The sequence below is a fragment of the Homo sapiens genome, chromosome 1 (genome assembly GCF_000001405.40).
Source record: "Homo sapiens chromosome 1, GRCh38.p14 Primary Assembly".
In the NCBI taxonomy this organism is placed as follows: domain Eukaryota; kingdom Metazoa; phylum Chordata; class Mammalia; order Primates; family Hominidae; genus Homo; species Homo sapiens.
The window spans coordinates 234,466,566-234,483,743 of record NC_000001.11 but is presented as its reverse complement, the minus strand read 5'-3'; the positions used below and the strand labels follow the sequence as shown (position 1 = coordinate 234,483,743).

The following is a 17,178-nucleotide window of genomic DNA, read 5'->3' as shown; positions in this document are numbered from 1 at the left end:
CCTGTAATCCCAGCACTTTGGGAGGGCGAGGCAGGTGGATCTCCTGAGGTCAGGAGTTTGAGACCAGCCTGGCAAACCTGGAGAAACTCCGTCTCTACTAAAAATACAAAAATTAGCTGGGCGTGGTGGTGGGTGCCTGTAATCCCAGCTGCACTGGGGGCTGAGGCAGGAGAATCACTTGAACCCTGGAGGCAGAGGTTGCAGTGAGCTGAGATTGCGCCATTGCACTCTAGCCTGGGTGACAGGGCGAGACTCCATCTACAAAAAAAAAAAAGCTTTACTGAAGTGTGCTATGTCTGAGATGAGGTACTGGCATGAGTATAATAGCAGACAAAACCTCATACCCCATGCCTAGCCCTCAAATTGCTTAGAGAGGAGGAGTAGGGGGCAGAGAAATAACCTGCAATTGCAACACAGTGTGACCATTGCTGTGTTGGTGACATGCCAGGATGTTTGGGGAATTTGAAAGAGGGTCACCTAATTTAACTGGGGTGTTAGCAGCAGGAGAAAGGTATTAAGAAATGACTTTCTGGAGAGATAACATTTGAACTTTGTCTTGAAAGAAAAAAAAAGTCAGGTGGAGAAGGGGTAAGTGCTTTCCAAAAGAGAGAAGGGCTTTTTTTGAAAAAACACAAAGAAAAGTGAGAGCACACATGTTTTAGGGACTTCAAAATTAAGGTGTAAATGGGGCTTGTCAGGAGTGTGAAGATGGAGAATTAGGCAGGCATTCCATCTTGAGGCATCTTGGATGATATGCTAAGAAACTCAACCATGATTCTGAGGGCTCTGGGTAGCCAATGATGTAATTTTAGGAAGATCATCCTAGTACCAATACGGAGTATGTATTACACGACCAGGGGCACTAGGAATGGCTTCTTAGAGAGATGCCTTGAAATTTGGGTCTTCATAAAGGAGTAGGAGATGGCTATTCACTCGATAAGCGTTACTTAAATGTGATATAGCTGGGAGTGGGGTAGGTGGTGATTGCTATTATCTTGGCAAGAAATGAGGAGGGTCTAAAACTAAGTAAGGTATTAGTGGGGCACAGAGAGGAGGGATCACCGAGAGATTTAGAAAGTTGCATGGAAACTTTGAGGAGTGATTGCATGTGAGAATCAAGTAGGAAGTGTATTGGTTCCCAGGTTTTTGACTTGGGCAACTTGGGAATGATGGCCATTTCCCTAAACAGGGAATTCCTGGGAAGAAGAACATCGGTGGGGAGTAATGATGCTGGGTGAAGGGATGAAGGGAATGAAGTTAGATTTGTAAAAGTGGAGACTGAGAATGATGTCCTGAATAATATTCAAATGAAGACGTGTGGTAGGCAGTTGGAGAAATAGGTTTCGAGCTATCTCCTAAGGATAAGTCTCAGGAGAGAGACCTAGGCTGGAGATACAGACTTTTTCATCATTAGCATGTAAATGGTAATCAGATCTATAGTGTTAATGAAGTTATTCAGAGAAAATTTACAGAGTGAGGAGAAGAGAGACCTGAAGATAAAACCCTGGAAATATCACTATGGACAGGTCAGGAGGAAAAATAAGATGCTGAAAGAAAGGGAGAAGAAACAGCTGAGGAAGCAGAGAAAAGAAAGAACAGGACAAAGTCATCGATGAAAACCAGAGTGAGATAGTGTTTCAAGAAATAGGAAATACTCCACAGAGTCCATTCAGGTAAGAACGAAAAAGGGCAGCTCTGGCAATTAGGAATCGCTGCCCACATTGGTGAATCAGAAAAGTGGTGTTGCGGGAAATATTCCGGGAGAGAAGACAGTGCAAACATGTTGTGGGTAAGAAGGAGAGTTCCACATGCCTGACCTGGGGCAGAGAAGGGGGAGTCAGGCTGTGAGGCCAGCTGGCTTTTCCCCAATCCCAATAAGCCTTCAATGCTGTGCTCTGCAGTTAGGCTTTACTCTGAAGGCAACAGAGAATAAAACACATAGGCCAACTTGTTTTTTTGTTTTGTTTTGTTTTGTTTTGTTTTTTGGTATAAGTCATTTTTCAAGATTGAGGTAAACTTTCTTTTTTTTTTTTTTGAGACCAAGTCTCACTCTGTCTCCAGGCTGGAGTGCAGTGGTGTGATCTTGGCTCACTGCAACCTCTGCCTCCTGGGTTCAAGCAATTCTCCTGCCTCAGCCTCCCGAGTAGCTGGGATTACAGGCGTGCACCACCATGCCCAGCTAATTTTTTTGTATTTCAGTAGAGATGGGGTTTCACCATGTTGGCCAGGATGGTCTCAATCTCCTGACCTCATGATCCACCGGCCTCGGCCTCCCAAAGTGCTGGGATTACAGGTGTGAGCCACTGCGCCCGGCTGATTGAGGTAAACTTTCTGCAGAGCGAAATGCATAGATCTTAAGGGTTCAGTTCAAGGAGTCTTGACAAATGTGTAACAACACCCTGATCAACATAAAATATTTTCATCACCCCAGAAAGTTCCCTTGTGCCCAATTCTAGTCAAATCTCTACTCCCTATATGCAACTACTGTTCTCATTTCTATCCTTCAGATTACTTTTGTCTCTTCTTGGATTTCATATAAATGAAATCACGAGGATGTAAACGTTGTGACTGGCTTCCTTTGTTTAACATATTGTTTCTGAGACTTATCCATGTAAAGCGGATTAGCAATTCATTGTCTTATTGCTGGGAGCATTATTATATAGATAGATCACAATTTTTTATTCATTCTTCAATTTGATGCACATGTAGGTTGTTACCTAACACCTACTAGGTTGTTATAAGCTTTTGGCTATAACGAATAATGTTGTCAAAAACATTCTTCTGCAAGCTTTTTTTTTTGAAACATGTTTTCATTTATTTTAGGTAATTACCTGGGGGTGAAATCGCTGAATCATAAAGCAGCTATATTATAACTTTACGAGAAACAGTTTCTAAAGTGACTGTACCGTTTTCATGCCCACCAGTAATGTATGAGAATTCCAGTTGCTCCACACCCTTGGTCTTTGCCGTTTAGTGTTTTCGAGCTTTTACATGTTAGCCATTCTCATCAGTATGAAGTGGTACCTCATTGTGGGTTTAATTTGCATTTCTCTGATGACTAATGATGTTGAACACTTTTCCAAGTGCTTATCATTTGTGTATCTTCGTTTGTTAAGTGCTCAAGACATTTACCCATTTATATTTGTTAGATATATGTTGACAGAAACAATAGTTTTCTGCACATTTTATGTTGAAGGTAATTGATATTTACTGACATGTTAAAAGGGCTTAAAATAGAAACATTTATGCATTTTGTCAATGAAAAACGGAATGACTGAAATATGAAAAAAGTCTTGCCTGTGTAATGTCAGATAACCTTAAAGTCAGATAACTTTATATAAAAATAACTGTAAATTTAAATAACTAATTTTTGTCTTATCCATTATGTTATTATATGTCAAGCTCTTTGAAGTTGGGACCCTGTTTTCTCTATTGACTAAGAGGCAGATCTTTGTGTTTAGTAGCGAAGAAAACCCTATGTCACTGATCTAGTTTGTCTCAAATTGAGCCAGGAACCAAATCCACACCATGCATGCCGAGGTGAGGTTTTCTGTTTCTCTATTTAGCAATGGATGCTGTCAGAAATACAGAAAAGACAGACACAGGGACTATTTTTGAGTTTGCACATGGGAGCACATGCATTGTGCAGGAGGCTCTGCATCCTGGAGTCATCTTGGGCACTTGGCTGTGAGGGCTGGCGTGGGCATCTTGGTTTTAGCTGAATCCTAGCACATTGCTATAGGTACCTCTAAGGCAGGAGAATAGGGCCTGGAGGCAGGGAATCCAAAAACTCCCTAGAACCAAATCAGATAGAAACACTTCAGCTATGACAGGAAATATCCTCTTCATTTACATAGGGAGTACACCAAGTAAATAACTTTGTAACTTCATTTTATCCTCTTCAGTTACATAGTGTGTACACCAAGTAACCAATTGAAACCTCTATAGGTATTTAAACCCCAGAAAATTCTGTAACCAGCCCCCCTTGAGCGGCTTGCTTGGGTCTGCCCCCACCCTGTGGAGTGTACTTTTGCAATAAATCTCTGCTTTTGTGGCTTCATTCTGTCTTTGCTTTGTTTGTGCGCTTTGTCCAATTCTTGGACCTGGACACCCTCCACCGGTAACACTTCTCACTCCTGGCCTTACGTCTAAATCATTCTTGTGTTTTCATGACTTATTTTTAATGCAGATGTCCAGAACCAATTTCAGACCTACTGTGTCAGTCTCTTTGTGGATGGTGCCCATCATGCAACGTTTGGAAAATAATCTAAAGTGATTCTGCTGTGCACCTTCTGTGAACTGGTTTATGCTCACAGGCACGCCTGATTTAGGGTCCTGGGCAGACCAACCTCCAATCAGGAATCGATGAAGCTGGTGTAGATACTACATTAACTTTTAACGAAGGCCTCGTTTCTCCTAAAAATAAGAGACCAGGTGGGTTCTATCTAGGCAGGGTTGGTGGCAGGAACCCAAGGGAAGCTGAGCTGCACCAAGCCGGGCTGGGATCCCCCTCTCTGCGGCCGCGCGCCCGGCTCCGTCGGCGCACGCGCACGTAGGGGCCGGCCGGTCCTGTGCGCACGCATCGCACACGCCGGCGCCTTCCTTTGGGAGCCCGGGCCGGTGGCGCGGGCGCTCGGCAAATGGAGTGGGTGCTCGCGGAAGCGCTGCTCTCGCAGAGCCGGGACCCCCGGGCCCTGCTTGGGGCGCTGTGCCAAGGGGAGGCATCCGCGGAGCGCGTGGAGACGCTGCGCTTCCTTCTGCAGCGGCTCGAGGACGAGGAGGCGCGCGGCAGCGGGGGCGCAGGCGCGCTCCCGGAGGCGGCGCGCGAGGTGGCTGCAGGGTACCTCGTGCCACTGCTGCGGAGCCTGCGCGGACGCCCCGCGGGCGGCCCGGACCCCAGTCTGCAGCCTCGCCACCGCCGGCGCGTGCTGAGGGCGGCGGGCGCGGCCCTGCGCTCGTGCGTCCGCCTGGCCGGGCGTCCGCAGCTGGCGGCCGCGCTGGCTGAGGAGGCGCTGCGCGATCTGCTCGCCGGGTGGCGCGCGCCTGGCGCCGAGGCTGCCGTGGAAGTGCTAGCAGCCGTCGGGCCATGTTTGCGGCCCCGCGAGGACGGGCCGCTACTGGAGCGCGTGGCGGGGACCGCCGTCGCCCTGGCGCTGGGCGGGGGCGGGGACGGGGATGAGGCCGGGCCTGCCGAGGACGCGGCGGCGCTGGTGGCCGGGCGACTGCTGCCAGTGCTGGTCCAATGTGGCGGGGCGGCGCTGCGGGCCGTGTGGGGCGGGCTGGCCGCGCCTGGGGCGTCCCTGGGGTCCGGCCGCGTAGAGGAGAAGCTGCTGGTCCTGAGCGCCCTGGCCGAGAAGCTGTTGCCCGAGCCCGGCGGCGACCGCGCCCGCGGCGCGCGCGAGGCGGGCCCGGACGCCCGGCGCTGCTGGCGCTTCTGGAGGACGGTGCAGGCGGGGCTGGGCCAGGCGGACGCCCTGACGCGCAAGCGAGCGCGCTACCTGCTGCAGAGGGCGGTGGAGGTGTCGGCGGAGCTGGGGGCCGACTGCACCTGCGGGCCCCAGGAAGGAAACGGTACCTGCCTCTTTGCCCCCCAGCCTAGTGCTACCTACTTGGCTGCCCCAGAGGGGAGTCTTCCTGCTTCTAAAAACTAGCTTATCGGGGTCGTCACTCCGATCCATGCAGAATTTGGTTATTCCGCGTTGCTCCCCTAAAGCCTGAAAACCTTTGGAACCCCTTCTCGAGGGTGTTCTTTGAAGTCACAAATCACTGCGGTTGGGAACGTTCTAACCCAGAGCCGGTGGAATACAGCACCCCTGGAATAGTTTAGGAAGATAATGGAGCCCGTGCAAGATTTTACAGACCCAAATCTGCACTATATCATGGTAGATTCAACCCAATAGAAACGGTTGATATCTATCAAGTTGAAAGAAAAATTATTTGTTATTTATCTGTACTGACCAGTGAATTAGTGAATTGAGTGTTGAGTGTTAGAATTAAGCGTCATAGAGGCCATCACACTCTTCTGAAATTTCCCCTGGTAATTAGGAACAGGATTTACTAATATTTGTTAAACATGTTTCTTAAGTCGACCTTTTGAGTGTATTTTTGCCATTGATTTAATAGAATGAATCAGATTTTATTTTTTAACTGTTTGAGCTTTGCTCCCTACTATGTGCAAGAGTAATGAAACAGCAAGGCCTCCCTTCAAGTTGTTACGTTACTGTTGATTGGTTTGACTTCACTCATGTTAAATTTGGGTTTAAACTGTCAAGTACAAAGTAGATTGACTCAAAATTGTCTCAATAGAATATTTCTACTTTTTCAACGGTAGCTGACCATTTATTACAGGTAAAGGATTTTTGTTTGGCTGAAGTTATGAGGTTATATTTTCAAGTAATTTTAAAACATTAGAGAGTAAATATTTGAACAGTCCACAGATAGGTGTGATCATCCCTGAGAGTTTTCACTGGAAAACATTTTTTAAATCATCAAAAATTAAAACATTCATTTATTTACATGAGTCTGTTATTTTGCAGTTTTGTTTGTTTGTTTGTTTGTTTTATGGAGTTTCGGTCTTGTTGCCCAGGCTGGAATGCAATGGCACAATCTCCGCTCACCGCAACCTGCACTTCCCGGGTTCAAGCGGTTCTCCTGCCTCAGCCTCCAGAGTAGCTGGGATTACAGGCATGCGCCACCATGCCCCACTAATTTTGTATTTTTAATAGAGACGGGGTTTCACCGTGTTGGTCAGGCTGGCCTCAAACTCCTCACCTCAGGTGATCTGCCCGCCTTGGCCTCCCAAAGCGCTGGGATTACAGGCGTGAGCCACCGCGCTCGGCCAGTTATTTTGCAGTTTTAGGGATAAGCAATGGTGCTTCCATGCTTCCTGCAACTCCCATTTCCTCTGTTACAGAAAGCAAATCCTGTGGCCTCTTAACGGAATATTAGGGGATTTACCCCTATGTCTTGACATAGTATATCTTAGTTATATCATAAAATATATTGTCACAGTTAAAATTTTGGTTAAATGTGTGTTCAGCATTTATAAAATTATGACTGTAAATGCTGCTTGCAGGTGATCTATGTAGGAAACTGATCATTTTTCTCTTCCTGCAAGTTTTTCATATGATTTTGACGTTTTAAAATGTGTTCGGTTCTTTCTATACTTACCACGAATTCCTCCTTAAATTCTTAACCAGTTGACTAAATCTTTCCTCTACAAAATCAGATCATCAGAGGTTTTCCTGAAGAAGTTTCTCCCAGAGTCCCCTTACATGCCCAGATGTCGCAGGTTTCTCCCTGTGCCTGGTGCACAGACCTCACGCTTACCCCGGGATTCCCTTCACCTGGGTGTTCTGTTGAGTCTCATTTCCTGTAGTTCATATCTTCCTCTTTTTTGCTTTACTCACTTGTGTCAGTGCAGTGCATTCTCTAGCAGTTTCCTGAAATAGGATTTTTTTAAGGTCTTGTTTGTCTGATAATTCCATCAAATGCTCCTTTATGTCTGCCATCATGTTTTTCTCTCATTTCCATTTGACGCTTTTGGAGTTTCTCTCCTGAAAATCCCCATCTGCTCATCTGTTTATGCATATTGTTTACCTTTTCCACAAGATCCTTTAGCATATCAATTATAGTTATCTGCAAGTTCGATACCTGGACCATCTAAGTTTGGCTTTGTTTTCTGTTGTAGTGTTTGGCTATGGAGTCGCTTTTTTTTATGTCTTACTATAATAACAGTAGAGATGGAAGTAAATATTTCTGCCTGGGATAGGCACCGTTACTTTGTGGCATTGAGTTAGTCTAGTTTGTAGTTGAGCTGGGTTTGGCGTTGGTTGCTGTATTTGTTTTCAGTGCACTTTACAAACTTTTCCCAGATTTTGTGGCTACTTGCTTAGCTGAAGCCTGGAGTCTCGAAAGGTTTTTCTCCAGCCTGGGAGGCCTGTGCCACCGATGGAGGTCTTCAGCCAAGGCTTCGTCCCTCCCTCAGGGGTAGACTGCTGATGCTTGTTCCCTGGTGCAAGAGATGAGGCAGGGGCTTTTCATTTCTTCCACTGCAGCCTTGTATTTAGGCCCCATGTGTCTGAGCGTCAGCATTCCTGCTCTTTCGCTGTCTGTGCTCCCTCTCCAGTGGCAATAATCGTTGCCTCCAACTTAGGGGTGCGTTTAGGTTCCTGGCCCTAACCTGTGGCAGCTGCATTCTGCGTGAGTGTCTGTGGTAGGTCTTGGGTGTAGCGTCCTGCCCTCCTCCAGCACCTGCAGACCAGCTTTGTATCAGTGCAGGATATCTGGCAGTAGGGGGTTTGCTTCCCCTTCCACAGAATAAGATGCATTCGCCTAGTGTCAGTGCCGAGTGAAGGGAGCAGGTTCTATCCCTGCCCTAGAGGCAGGCAACTTTTGCTTGTATCAAGGCAGGGACAAGGGTGAGAGTGTGGGAGGGGCAGACAGCTTTGGCTTCCTGTCGGAGAAGGGTCCAGGGGGACAGGCACGTTTTGGCAGTTGATCACCATCTTGTACTCCTGCAGGGCATGGCTGGGCCTCTCTAGTTAGTCCTGCTGCCCTGGGTGCCTGCGCCTCTGAAGATCTCCTGCCCTGGCCACAGTCTCTCTCGAGAGCACCGGGGCAGGCTTGAAGAAAAGAGCTGGTGAATGGATGTGGACTCCCTCAGCAAGCTGTGAGGCTAGCCCACCTTGGTCTTTAAAAACTTGTCAAAATGCCATTTTTAAAACTGCTTTTTGGGTGACCATGTCTTGCTCCTGTGCCAGAAGTAGAACAGATAAGTGGCCTTTCCATTCTTGGAGCGCCTTCCTTCCTTTTAGAATTCAGGTTGCATTGTGACCTCAGTTCTGATGCTCCCCCCACCCACCGCACAACAGTTTAGGATTTTGTAGATTTTTCAGCCTTTCCTCTTTGTATGACAATAACGATCTCCTATGGTTTTCTATGTCCTAATGAGCAACTGAAACGATACATATCTAAATGCCTTTATTTTGTCCTCATATTTCATTGATGGTTTGACTGAGGGTAGAATTCGAGCCTGGAAGATATTTCCATTCAAAATTTTAAAGGTATCTATCTATTGTCCCAGAAGCTAGAGCTTCCAGTATTGCTGTTGAGAAATCTGAAACCATTCTGAATCCTGTTTATTTATACAGGAACTGTTTCTCTCTATGGAAGTGTGTAGGATCAGTGGCTCTAGCATTCTGAAATTTCACAGTTTTGATAGGAGTCTATTTTCATCCTTGTGCTGGGCACTTGCTGGACCTCCTGTGCAATCTGGAAATCATGTTCTTCAGTTCTGGGAAATTTTCTAGAATATTCTGTGGATTATTTCGTCCCTTTCTGTTTTCTGTTCTTTTTTTAGATATTGAACTTCCTGGACTTTCTTGAAAGCATCTTTTCTCTCCTAAGGATTTTCTATGATTTTGGATTGAGTTTTTTTTTTTAAATGTCCCCTTTGTGTGTGTGTGTGTGTGTGTGTGTGTGTGTGTGTGTGTGTGTTTTAGAGACAAATCCTCGCTCTTGCCCAGGCTAGGGTGCAGTGGCGTGATTATAGCTCACTATAACTTCAAAATACTGGGCTCAAGTGATCCTCTCATCTCAGCCTCCAGAGAAGCTGGGACGATAGGTGTGCACCACCATGCCCTGATAATTTTTTAAATTTCCTTGTAGAGACAGGGTCTTGCTATGTTGTACCAGGCTGGTCTCAAGCTCCTGGCCTCAAGCAATCCTCCTGCCTCAGCCTCCCAAAGTGTTGGGATTACAGGCATGAGCCACCAAGCCTGGTCAGAATGTCCCCTTTTTAATAATATCCTGTTCTTATAATACTACTATCTTCTTAAGATATTGCTGAAAACTCTTTTAAAAGTTTTCTTCTACCTGTGTAATTTTGTTTTCTCCAATTTCCTCCTCCCACTCCATTTGTTTTGGTCTTGATCTTTAGTGTAGAGGTTTCCCCAACTGTCTGATGATTCTTAGATCCCTATTTATGTTTAAGGATAAGAAATCAAAATTGGGTTTAAAGCTCTAAGCCCATGAGTGGTGCTGTTGACTGAACTTCACCATAAGGTGATTTGGCCAAGCCATTTCATTAAGGAATCTCTGATATATTTTCAGATCTTTCCTCCTGGGCTGGCCAGATTCTGCAGAGAACATCTTCCAGTTGTCTGATGCATAGTGAGGGCCTGGCCAGCATTCTAGGACCTGAGGGGGCAGGTAGAGAGGAGTCGCAGCACCCAGGGTGCACACATGTTCGCTGAATCCCCTTTGTCAGTAGGACTAATGTCTGCTGTGTCCTGTGCCTCCCAATTCAGAGACGCACTATTTTACCTTCTCCAGAAAAGCAGTTCTAGTCTTTTCCTGTTCAGGACATAGGAAAGTGGCCTGGGGATGTGACTGTTTCTTAAACACTGAACACATCCTCTTTGGTTTAGCCTCACTTTTCACTCCACTTACCAGAGTAACTTTTGCAGCCACTTCCTTTGGTTCCGGGGGATTTTGCAGCATAAATCAAATTGTTTCCTGGCTTTCCCTTTGTCAACTTAAAATTCTCATGACTTGAGTCAACTTGGTTTTCATCTGATTTTCAGATTCTGTATTTTATTGCTGTTGTCTGCCCCCAGTGTTCTCCATTCTTTTGGGGTTTTGCCCTTGAAAAATCCTTTACTGTTATAGTGAGATTCTTAGGGAGAGAAAGTAGAGTTTATATGTGCAAATCTGCCATTTTTACCCAGAACTCCAAAACAGTAATCTTAGTGCAAAAAAAAATCTCCCTCTGAGATTCCCAAGCCCCCTATCCAGGCTCTGATACAGGGGCACCTCCATTATTAGAGAATCCATTTGGTAATAGTGGCATTATTTTAAGAACTGCTGTCATTGAGAAACTTATGAAATTTGCAAAAGGAAGAACTAATTTTCTTTTTTAAACCATATCAGGCCCAAGTCTGTTTTGGTGGTCTGAGAGGAAAAAAGATGAGCTTCTAAAGTTTTGGGAAAATTATATTTTAATTATGGAGACTTTAGAAGGAAATCAGGTAAGTGTTTTTCTATTTTAGCAAATCCTACAGTAGATAACAATTTTTCTTTTTTAAAAACATTCATTAAAAGCGATACAAAGAGACTAACTCAGATATAGCTGGTGATGATAGAATCCAAGTATACTTTGTTGTCTGGCATAAATGCAACTTAGAGTGTAAGTTGTTTCAGGAAGTTAAAGAATACTTTCAGTTGACAAATTATTCAAAAATTTGATCTTCCCTTGCCATTCTAAAACTTTAACGTTTATCAGTATCAGTATCACCCAAATGGCTTATTATAAAGTATAAATTGCCATGCCCTGTCCTCAGACTTTCTGGTTCAGTAGGTCGGGGTGGGGCCTGGGACTTTTGAGTTTTTTTTTTTTTTTTTTTTTTTTTTTTGGAGACAGAGTCTTGCTCTCTCGCCCAGGCTGGGGTTCAGTGGCACGATCTCAGCTCACTGCAACATCCGCCTCCTGGGTTCAAGTGATTCTCCTGCCTCAGCCTCCCAAGTAGCTGGGACTACAGCCACGACACTGGCTAATTTTTGTATTTTTAGTAGAGATGGGGTTCCACCATGTTGGCCAGGCTGGTCTTGCACTCCTGACCTCAAGTAATCCACCCGCCTTGGCCTCCCAAAGTGCTGGGATTACAGGCGTGAGCCACCGCACCCGTCCAGGACTTTTGAGTTTTTTACAAGTTCCCAGGTGATATGTATGCTGCTGTTCTGGGAACTACACTTTGAGAACCATGGTTTCCATTCTGCAAGTTGGGGACCACAGAGGTGCCAGCCATCTGTGGAGTCATTGTGAGGTGTCAATCCAAATGTGCACCAAACCTTGTTTGTGGACTTAAATAATTACTTATATGTGCTAAATATATATAGATGCAAGGATGAGGAGTAAAGAAAAAGCATTTCTAAATTCAAATTAACTTTTATGGTTTTCTTTAATCAGTAGATCCATAAAACCCCCATTATTTATTTAGAAACCCAAATTTATCCATATTTTGAAGGATATGTAAATTAATCTCAAGCAAACGTGTCAGCAACTTTGGCTATGTGGTATTAAGAACATGGAACTCCGAACTGGCCGTTCTAAGCGTGTGCAGCCATGAACAACTTGAGTGACTAGAGAAAACATTTCAGTGTCTTTTTTCTCTTTGTAATATCTTAGTATTGGCAGTCCTACCTGCCTGCCAGGACAGTTGAGGATTCTATGACATGATTTATGATAATCACTGTATAAATGGTAGACTTTAATGTAGCTGTAATGTGGTTATATTCATTAGCTTTGCCATACTCAGTCTTACATACCTGAATCATACTATTGTTTGAAAAACTGGATAAATCAGGCTCTTTCTACATATGTTTTGTAGAAACAGAAGAGCTACTGTGAAATAAAGAGATGAAAATTGCCTGACATTTTTCAAGATGCATTTTCATTTCATATGATTTTTTTGCTCTTATTTTTAGATACATGTTATAAAGCCAGTTTTACCAAAGCTAAACAATCTGTTTGAATATGCGGTGTCAGAGGAAAATGGTAACGATTACTTTTATTTTATTTTTTAATAACATTTATGGTTTTCCCCTGATTTTGTAACTAATTCCTGTTCATTGTAGAGAATTTTGAAAAACTATAAAAGTGTACAGAAGAAAATATAATCATCTTGTAATGCTGCCACCAAGAGATAACAGTTGTTACCATTCCAGATACACACCTTCTGGATCATGTTGTTCATGTTTATCTCACTTAGCATAATAACTATATGCATCTACTCATATCCTTAAATCGTCTTTAAGAGCACAATTTTGGGCCAGGCGTGGTGGCTTATGCCTGTAATCCCAGCACTTTGGGAGGCAGAGGTGGGCGGATCACCTGAGGTCAGGAGTTCAAGACCAGCCTGGCCAACATAGTGAAACTCCGTCTCTACTAAAAATACAAAAATTAGCCAGGCATGGTGGTGTGTGCCTGTAGTCCCAGCTACTCGAGAGGCTGAGGCAAGAGAATCACTCGAATCCAGGAGGCGGAGGTTGCAGTGAGCCAAGATCACACTGCTGCACTCCAGGCTGGTGACAGAGCAAGACTCCGTCTCAAAAAAAAAAAAAAGAACACAATTTAAAATAGCCACAGAATTTTCTACAATTAAGAGATAAGGTTAATTTTTTAAACCGTTGATGATGGAGAATTTCAAACATTTATAGAATGAGAAGAGTGTGTGTGACGCACCTACCACCCTCTTTAATAACGATCGTCTCACGGCCAGCCTTGCTTAGTGTATCCTATGTAGCCTTCCCTGTTCCCTTCTTGCTAAATGGTTTTGAAGCACATCCCTAGATATCCTATCATTTTATCTGTGAATATTTCAGCACATTTCTTTAAAAGATAAGGACTCGTCGATAGGGTTTCAATGATGACATAGTCTGTGGTTTTAATAATTGCTCTTTTTTTTTGTTTTTGAGATGTGGAGTCTTGCAATCTGTTGCCCAGGCTGGAGTGCAGTGGGATGATCTCGGCTCACTGCAACCTCTGCTTCCCGGGTTCAGGCAATTTTTTTGCCTCGGCCTCCCAAGCAGCTGAGATTACAGGCATGCGCCACCACACCTGGCTAATTTTTGTATTTTTAGTAGAGACGGGGTTTTGCCACGTTGGCCAGGCTGGTCTCAAACTCCTAACCTCAGGTGATCCACCTGCCTCAGCCTCCCAAAGTGCTGGGATTACAGGTGTGAGCCACCGTGCCTGGCCAATAATCACTCTTTGGTATGAATATATCTTTTTAACTGGTTTCCATTCTTATTCTCTTAGTATATCTTTTCCAGTGTTTCTTAAGTTTTCAGTTATTGTTCTGTATCTTGTACTTCTTAGGAAGAGAAAATTCCGGGATATAATTTCAAATGTGTTTATAAGCCCTTGATCACTATATTATGAGAGCTTTTTAGGAGATACACAATGAAGCTGGAGCTTCCTAAATGTATTTTATAAAATTAAGTTTAATGAAATAGCTAAATGCAGCCCAATAGTGTTTTGGCCTGTGTTCATATGAATGATAAAATGCCACATTATTGTGTTTACACATGAGAATTAACCTAGGTAAATGGTTTTTAGTGCCTACTCTAGATAATTACAGTTTAATAGTTTGACCCCTTAGGAATTGAGCTTTATTCAGCTGATTGCTGTAGTTGTTTTCTGATACACTGGGATTTTTCACAGACCATAAGCATCTGTAGTTGCACCTGGGGCTAGAATTTAATTGAATCTTGTTGTGACTTCACTTATTCATTTACCATTAAAATGATGCTCTTATTACCACATTTTGCCCACAGCTCTTGAGAAACCAAATCAAATAGCAGTGACTGATTTTGAAAAATTACCATTGCCAAAGAGTTGAACAAGCATCTTGGTGTAAATTACAAATAATGGATTAATTTATTTATAGAATGTCATGAGTTAAAAATGCTGAGTATTTTTCTCTAATAGAAGTAAAAGATATTTCAAAAGAGTTAGAAAAATATCTCTAAGATATTTATTTATTCCATGGTTTTGATTTGCTCACTCATTTATATATTTACTGAATAAATATTTACTTAGTGTCCAGTACATGCTATTAGGTTGGTGCGAAAGTCGTTGCGGTTTTTGCCTTTTTTTTTTTTTTAAAAAAAAAAAAAAAAAGGCAAAAACCGCAACGACTTTCGCACCAACCTAGTAATTATTGGGGGTAAAATGGTGAGAGAGATGTGGTATTTTTCACCTGACTTTTGTGTTTTCCATGAAAAAATAGTTTTGATTGTAAGATATATGAGGGGAACAGACAAGGGGCTGATGAAATGGACTCAAGGGTGAGTGGGGTAGTCAGGGAAGGCCTGTCTTATGATGACATCTAAGCTAAGAGTCCAGGCTGAGAAGGCACCACCTGGGACACAAGCCCTGAGATGGGAGCAGCTGTAGGAGGCAGAACAGAAGGACCAGCAGGGCTGCAGCAGAGTTGGTGTGTGGAGTGGGGGATGAGGTTGGAGTGGCAGTCAAGGTCAGTTCATGCCTTGTTTGGACTTTATTCTAAGAACAATGAGGAGATGTTGAAGGATTTTAAGCAGAGGCGTGACAATTTCATATTTCTGTGTGAAAAATGGATTGAAGTGGGATAAGAGAAGAATTGGTTGAAACTATTCCAAATCTGAAGTTCCAACCTGCATGCATGGGGTAATATTTAATTTTTGTACACTGTAGCAGTTACAGCATTCGTTTACAGTCTTTCTTATTTTTTCAAGACAGAGTCTCACTCTGTTGCCCAAGCTGGAGTGCAGTGGCGGGGCCTGGGCTCACTCTAACCTCCGCCTCCCAAGTTCAAGGGTTCAAGCGATTCTCGTGTCTCAGTCCCTCCCCCACCAGTAGCTGGGATTACAGGCATACACCACCATGCCTGGCTGATTTCTGTGTTTTTTAGTAGAGATGGAGTTTTGCCATGTTGGCCAGGCTGGTCTCAAACTCCTGGCCTCATGTGATCCATCTGCCTCGGCCTCCCAAAGTGCTTGGATTACAGGCATGAGCCACCATGCCTGGCCCATTTACAGTCTTTCAAAATTAAGCTGCCTGAATACGGAATACTGAATACCAAAATTTTTTTGGTTGACATACTCAGATGTGACTAAAAACAGTCTGGGTGCGGTGGCTCATACCTGTAATCCCAGTGCTTTGGCAGGCCGAGGATGGAGGATCACTTGAACTCAGGAGTTTGAGACCAACCTAGGCAACATTCTGAGACCATGTTTCTAAAAAATATTTTAAAAATTGTCTAGGCGTGGTTTGCATACCTGTAGTCCTGCTAGGAAACTACTCAGGAAGCTGAGGCAGGAGGATCGCTTGAGCCCTGGAGTTTGAGGCTGCAGTGAGCTAGAATTTTGCAATTGCACTGCAGTCTGGGTGACACAGTGAGAACCTGTCTCTCAAAAAACAGTAACAAAAACTTCTTGTAGTGTTATAATGAAGTTATTGTGTGTGTTTGTACATTATTTATGAGTATGTAGTCTTGATGGTGAAATGAAGACAGAATCAGATGTCAACATTTGATGTTTGTTTCCACAGGATGTTGGCTCTTTCACCCATCCTGGCATATGTGTATTTATAAAAGAATGTTTGAAAGTGAAAACAAAATCCTGTCCAAAGAAGGTGTTATCCATTTTTTGGAGCTGTATGAAACAAAGATTCTTCCATTTTCACCAGAATTTTCTGAGGTAATGACACCCTGTCCCCTTCCTTGCTCCCATTGTTGAAAGGCGAGAGGTAAAAATACACTAGGATTCTGTATCAGCAAGTAACATTTTGGAGATTTGCATCCAACAAATCATATTTCTCTAAACCCAGCTTTCCTATTTGGAAAAAGCTTATGTTGTTTCTCAACAAGCCCAACGGTAGAACTGCCTGTATTATTACCATTGTGAAAAAGTAGTTGTATATTATCGATATTCAGAACAGCGTTAAGTCAAGAATCGTAAGCATAAGTCAAGTTTTCACTATATGAAAACTGGTATAGAAGCTATCAGGTGATGCTGTTGTCACCGTTCTGAGCCACTGATGACTGTTATTTGTTTAGTGATGCTACTGCCTCAATTCTGACTCAATGAATTGCTGTTGTCTACTATATGAAATAGGGATTGCCTTCTAAGCAATATTTATTAGAATCTGTACTTCCATTTGTCAGGAACTACGTGAGGCAGAGACAGTGGGAGTTATAGCTGTGATTTTAAGTTTTATATTATGGTGTCATGTGAGTCCCATGATGACTTCCTTAGGTAGAGTAATCTACCTCTCATTTAGAGGTGACCTAAGTCAATTTTTTTCTTCTTTTTCTTTCAATAGCTGTTTTTTTTTCGAGATGGTGTCTCATGCCTGTCACCCAGGCTGGAGTGCAGTGGCATGATCTCGGCTCAGTGCAACCTCCGCTTCCCAGGTTCAAGTGATCCCCCTGCCTCAGCCTCCTGAGTAGCTGGGATTACAGGTGGGTGCCACCACACCTGGCTAATTTTTGTATTTTTAGTGGAGATGGGGTTCCACCATCTTGGCTGGGCTGGTCTCGAACTCCTGGCCTCAAGTGATCCACCTGCCTTGGCCTCCCAAAGTGCTGGGATTACAGGTGTGAACCACTGTGCCTGGCTTCTTCTTCTTCTTTT

The 17,178-nt window shown here is 43.9% G+C and overlaps 1 protein-coding gene across 15 annotated transcripts in view, besides 2 other annotated features; it reads left to right on the top strand.

The window, feature by feature from the left end:
* Positions 4,449-4,638: a silencer, noted in NCBI's record as "silent region_1971". NCBI's record gives its function as "represses an Ori minimal core promoter by ATAC-STARR-seq in GM12878 lymphoblastoid cells {active_cell/tissue: GM12878}" and the evidence as "EXISTENCE:reporter gene assay evidence [ECO:0000049][PMID:35858748]".
* Positions 4,565-17,178, top strand: part of TARBP1 (tRNA guanosine 2 -O-methyltransferase TARBP1) — an 87,867-nt gene continuing 75,253 nt past the window's right edge. For 13 of the 15 annotated variants that reach the window (XR_007063103.1, XR_949157.3, XM_047429060.1 and 10 more), the window contains exons 1-4: positions 4,565-5,571; positions 10,933-11,030; positions 12,487-12,556; positions 16,094-16,242. Coding sequence is in view for 11 of the 15 variants with exons in the window: in XM_047429060.1 (XP_047285016.1) it covers positions 4,641-5,571; positions 10,933-11,030; positions 12,487-12,556; positions 16,094-16,242 (1,248 nt within the window). In the remaining 4 variants the exon portion in view is untranslated. Of the gene's footprint in view, positions 5,572-10,932; positions 11,031-12,486; positions 12,557-16,093; positions 16,243-17,178 lie in introns of those variants that run through there. The other 2 variants (XM_047429080.1, XM_047429091.1) reach the window with 1 other exon arrangement.
* Positions 4,669-5,468: a silencer, noted in NCBI's record as "silent region_1970". NCBI's record gives its function as "represses an Ori minimal core promoter by ATAC-STARR-seq in GM12878 lymphoblastoid cells {active_cell/tissue: GM12878}" and the evidence as "EXISTENCE:reporter gene assay evidence [ECO:0000049][PMID:35858748]".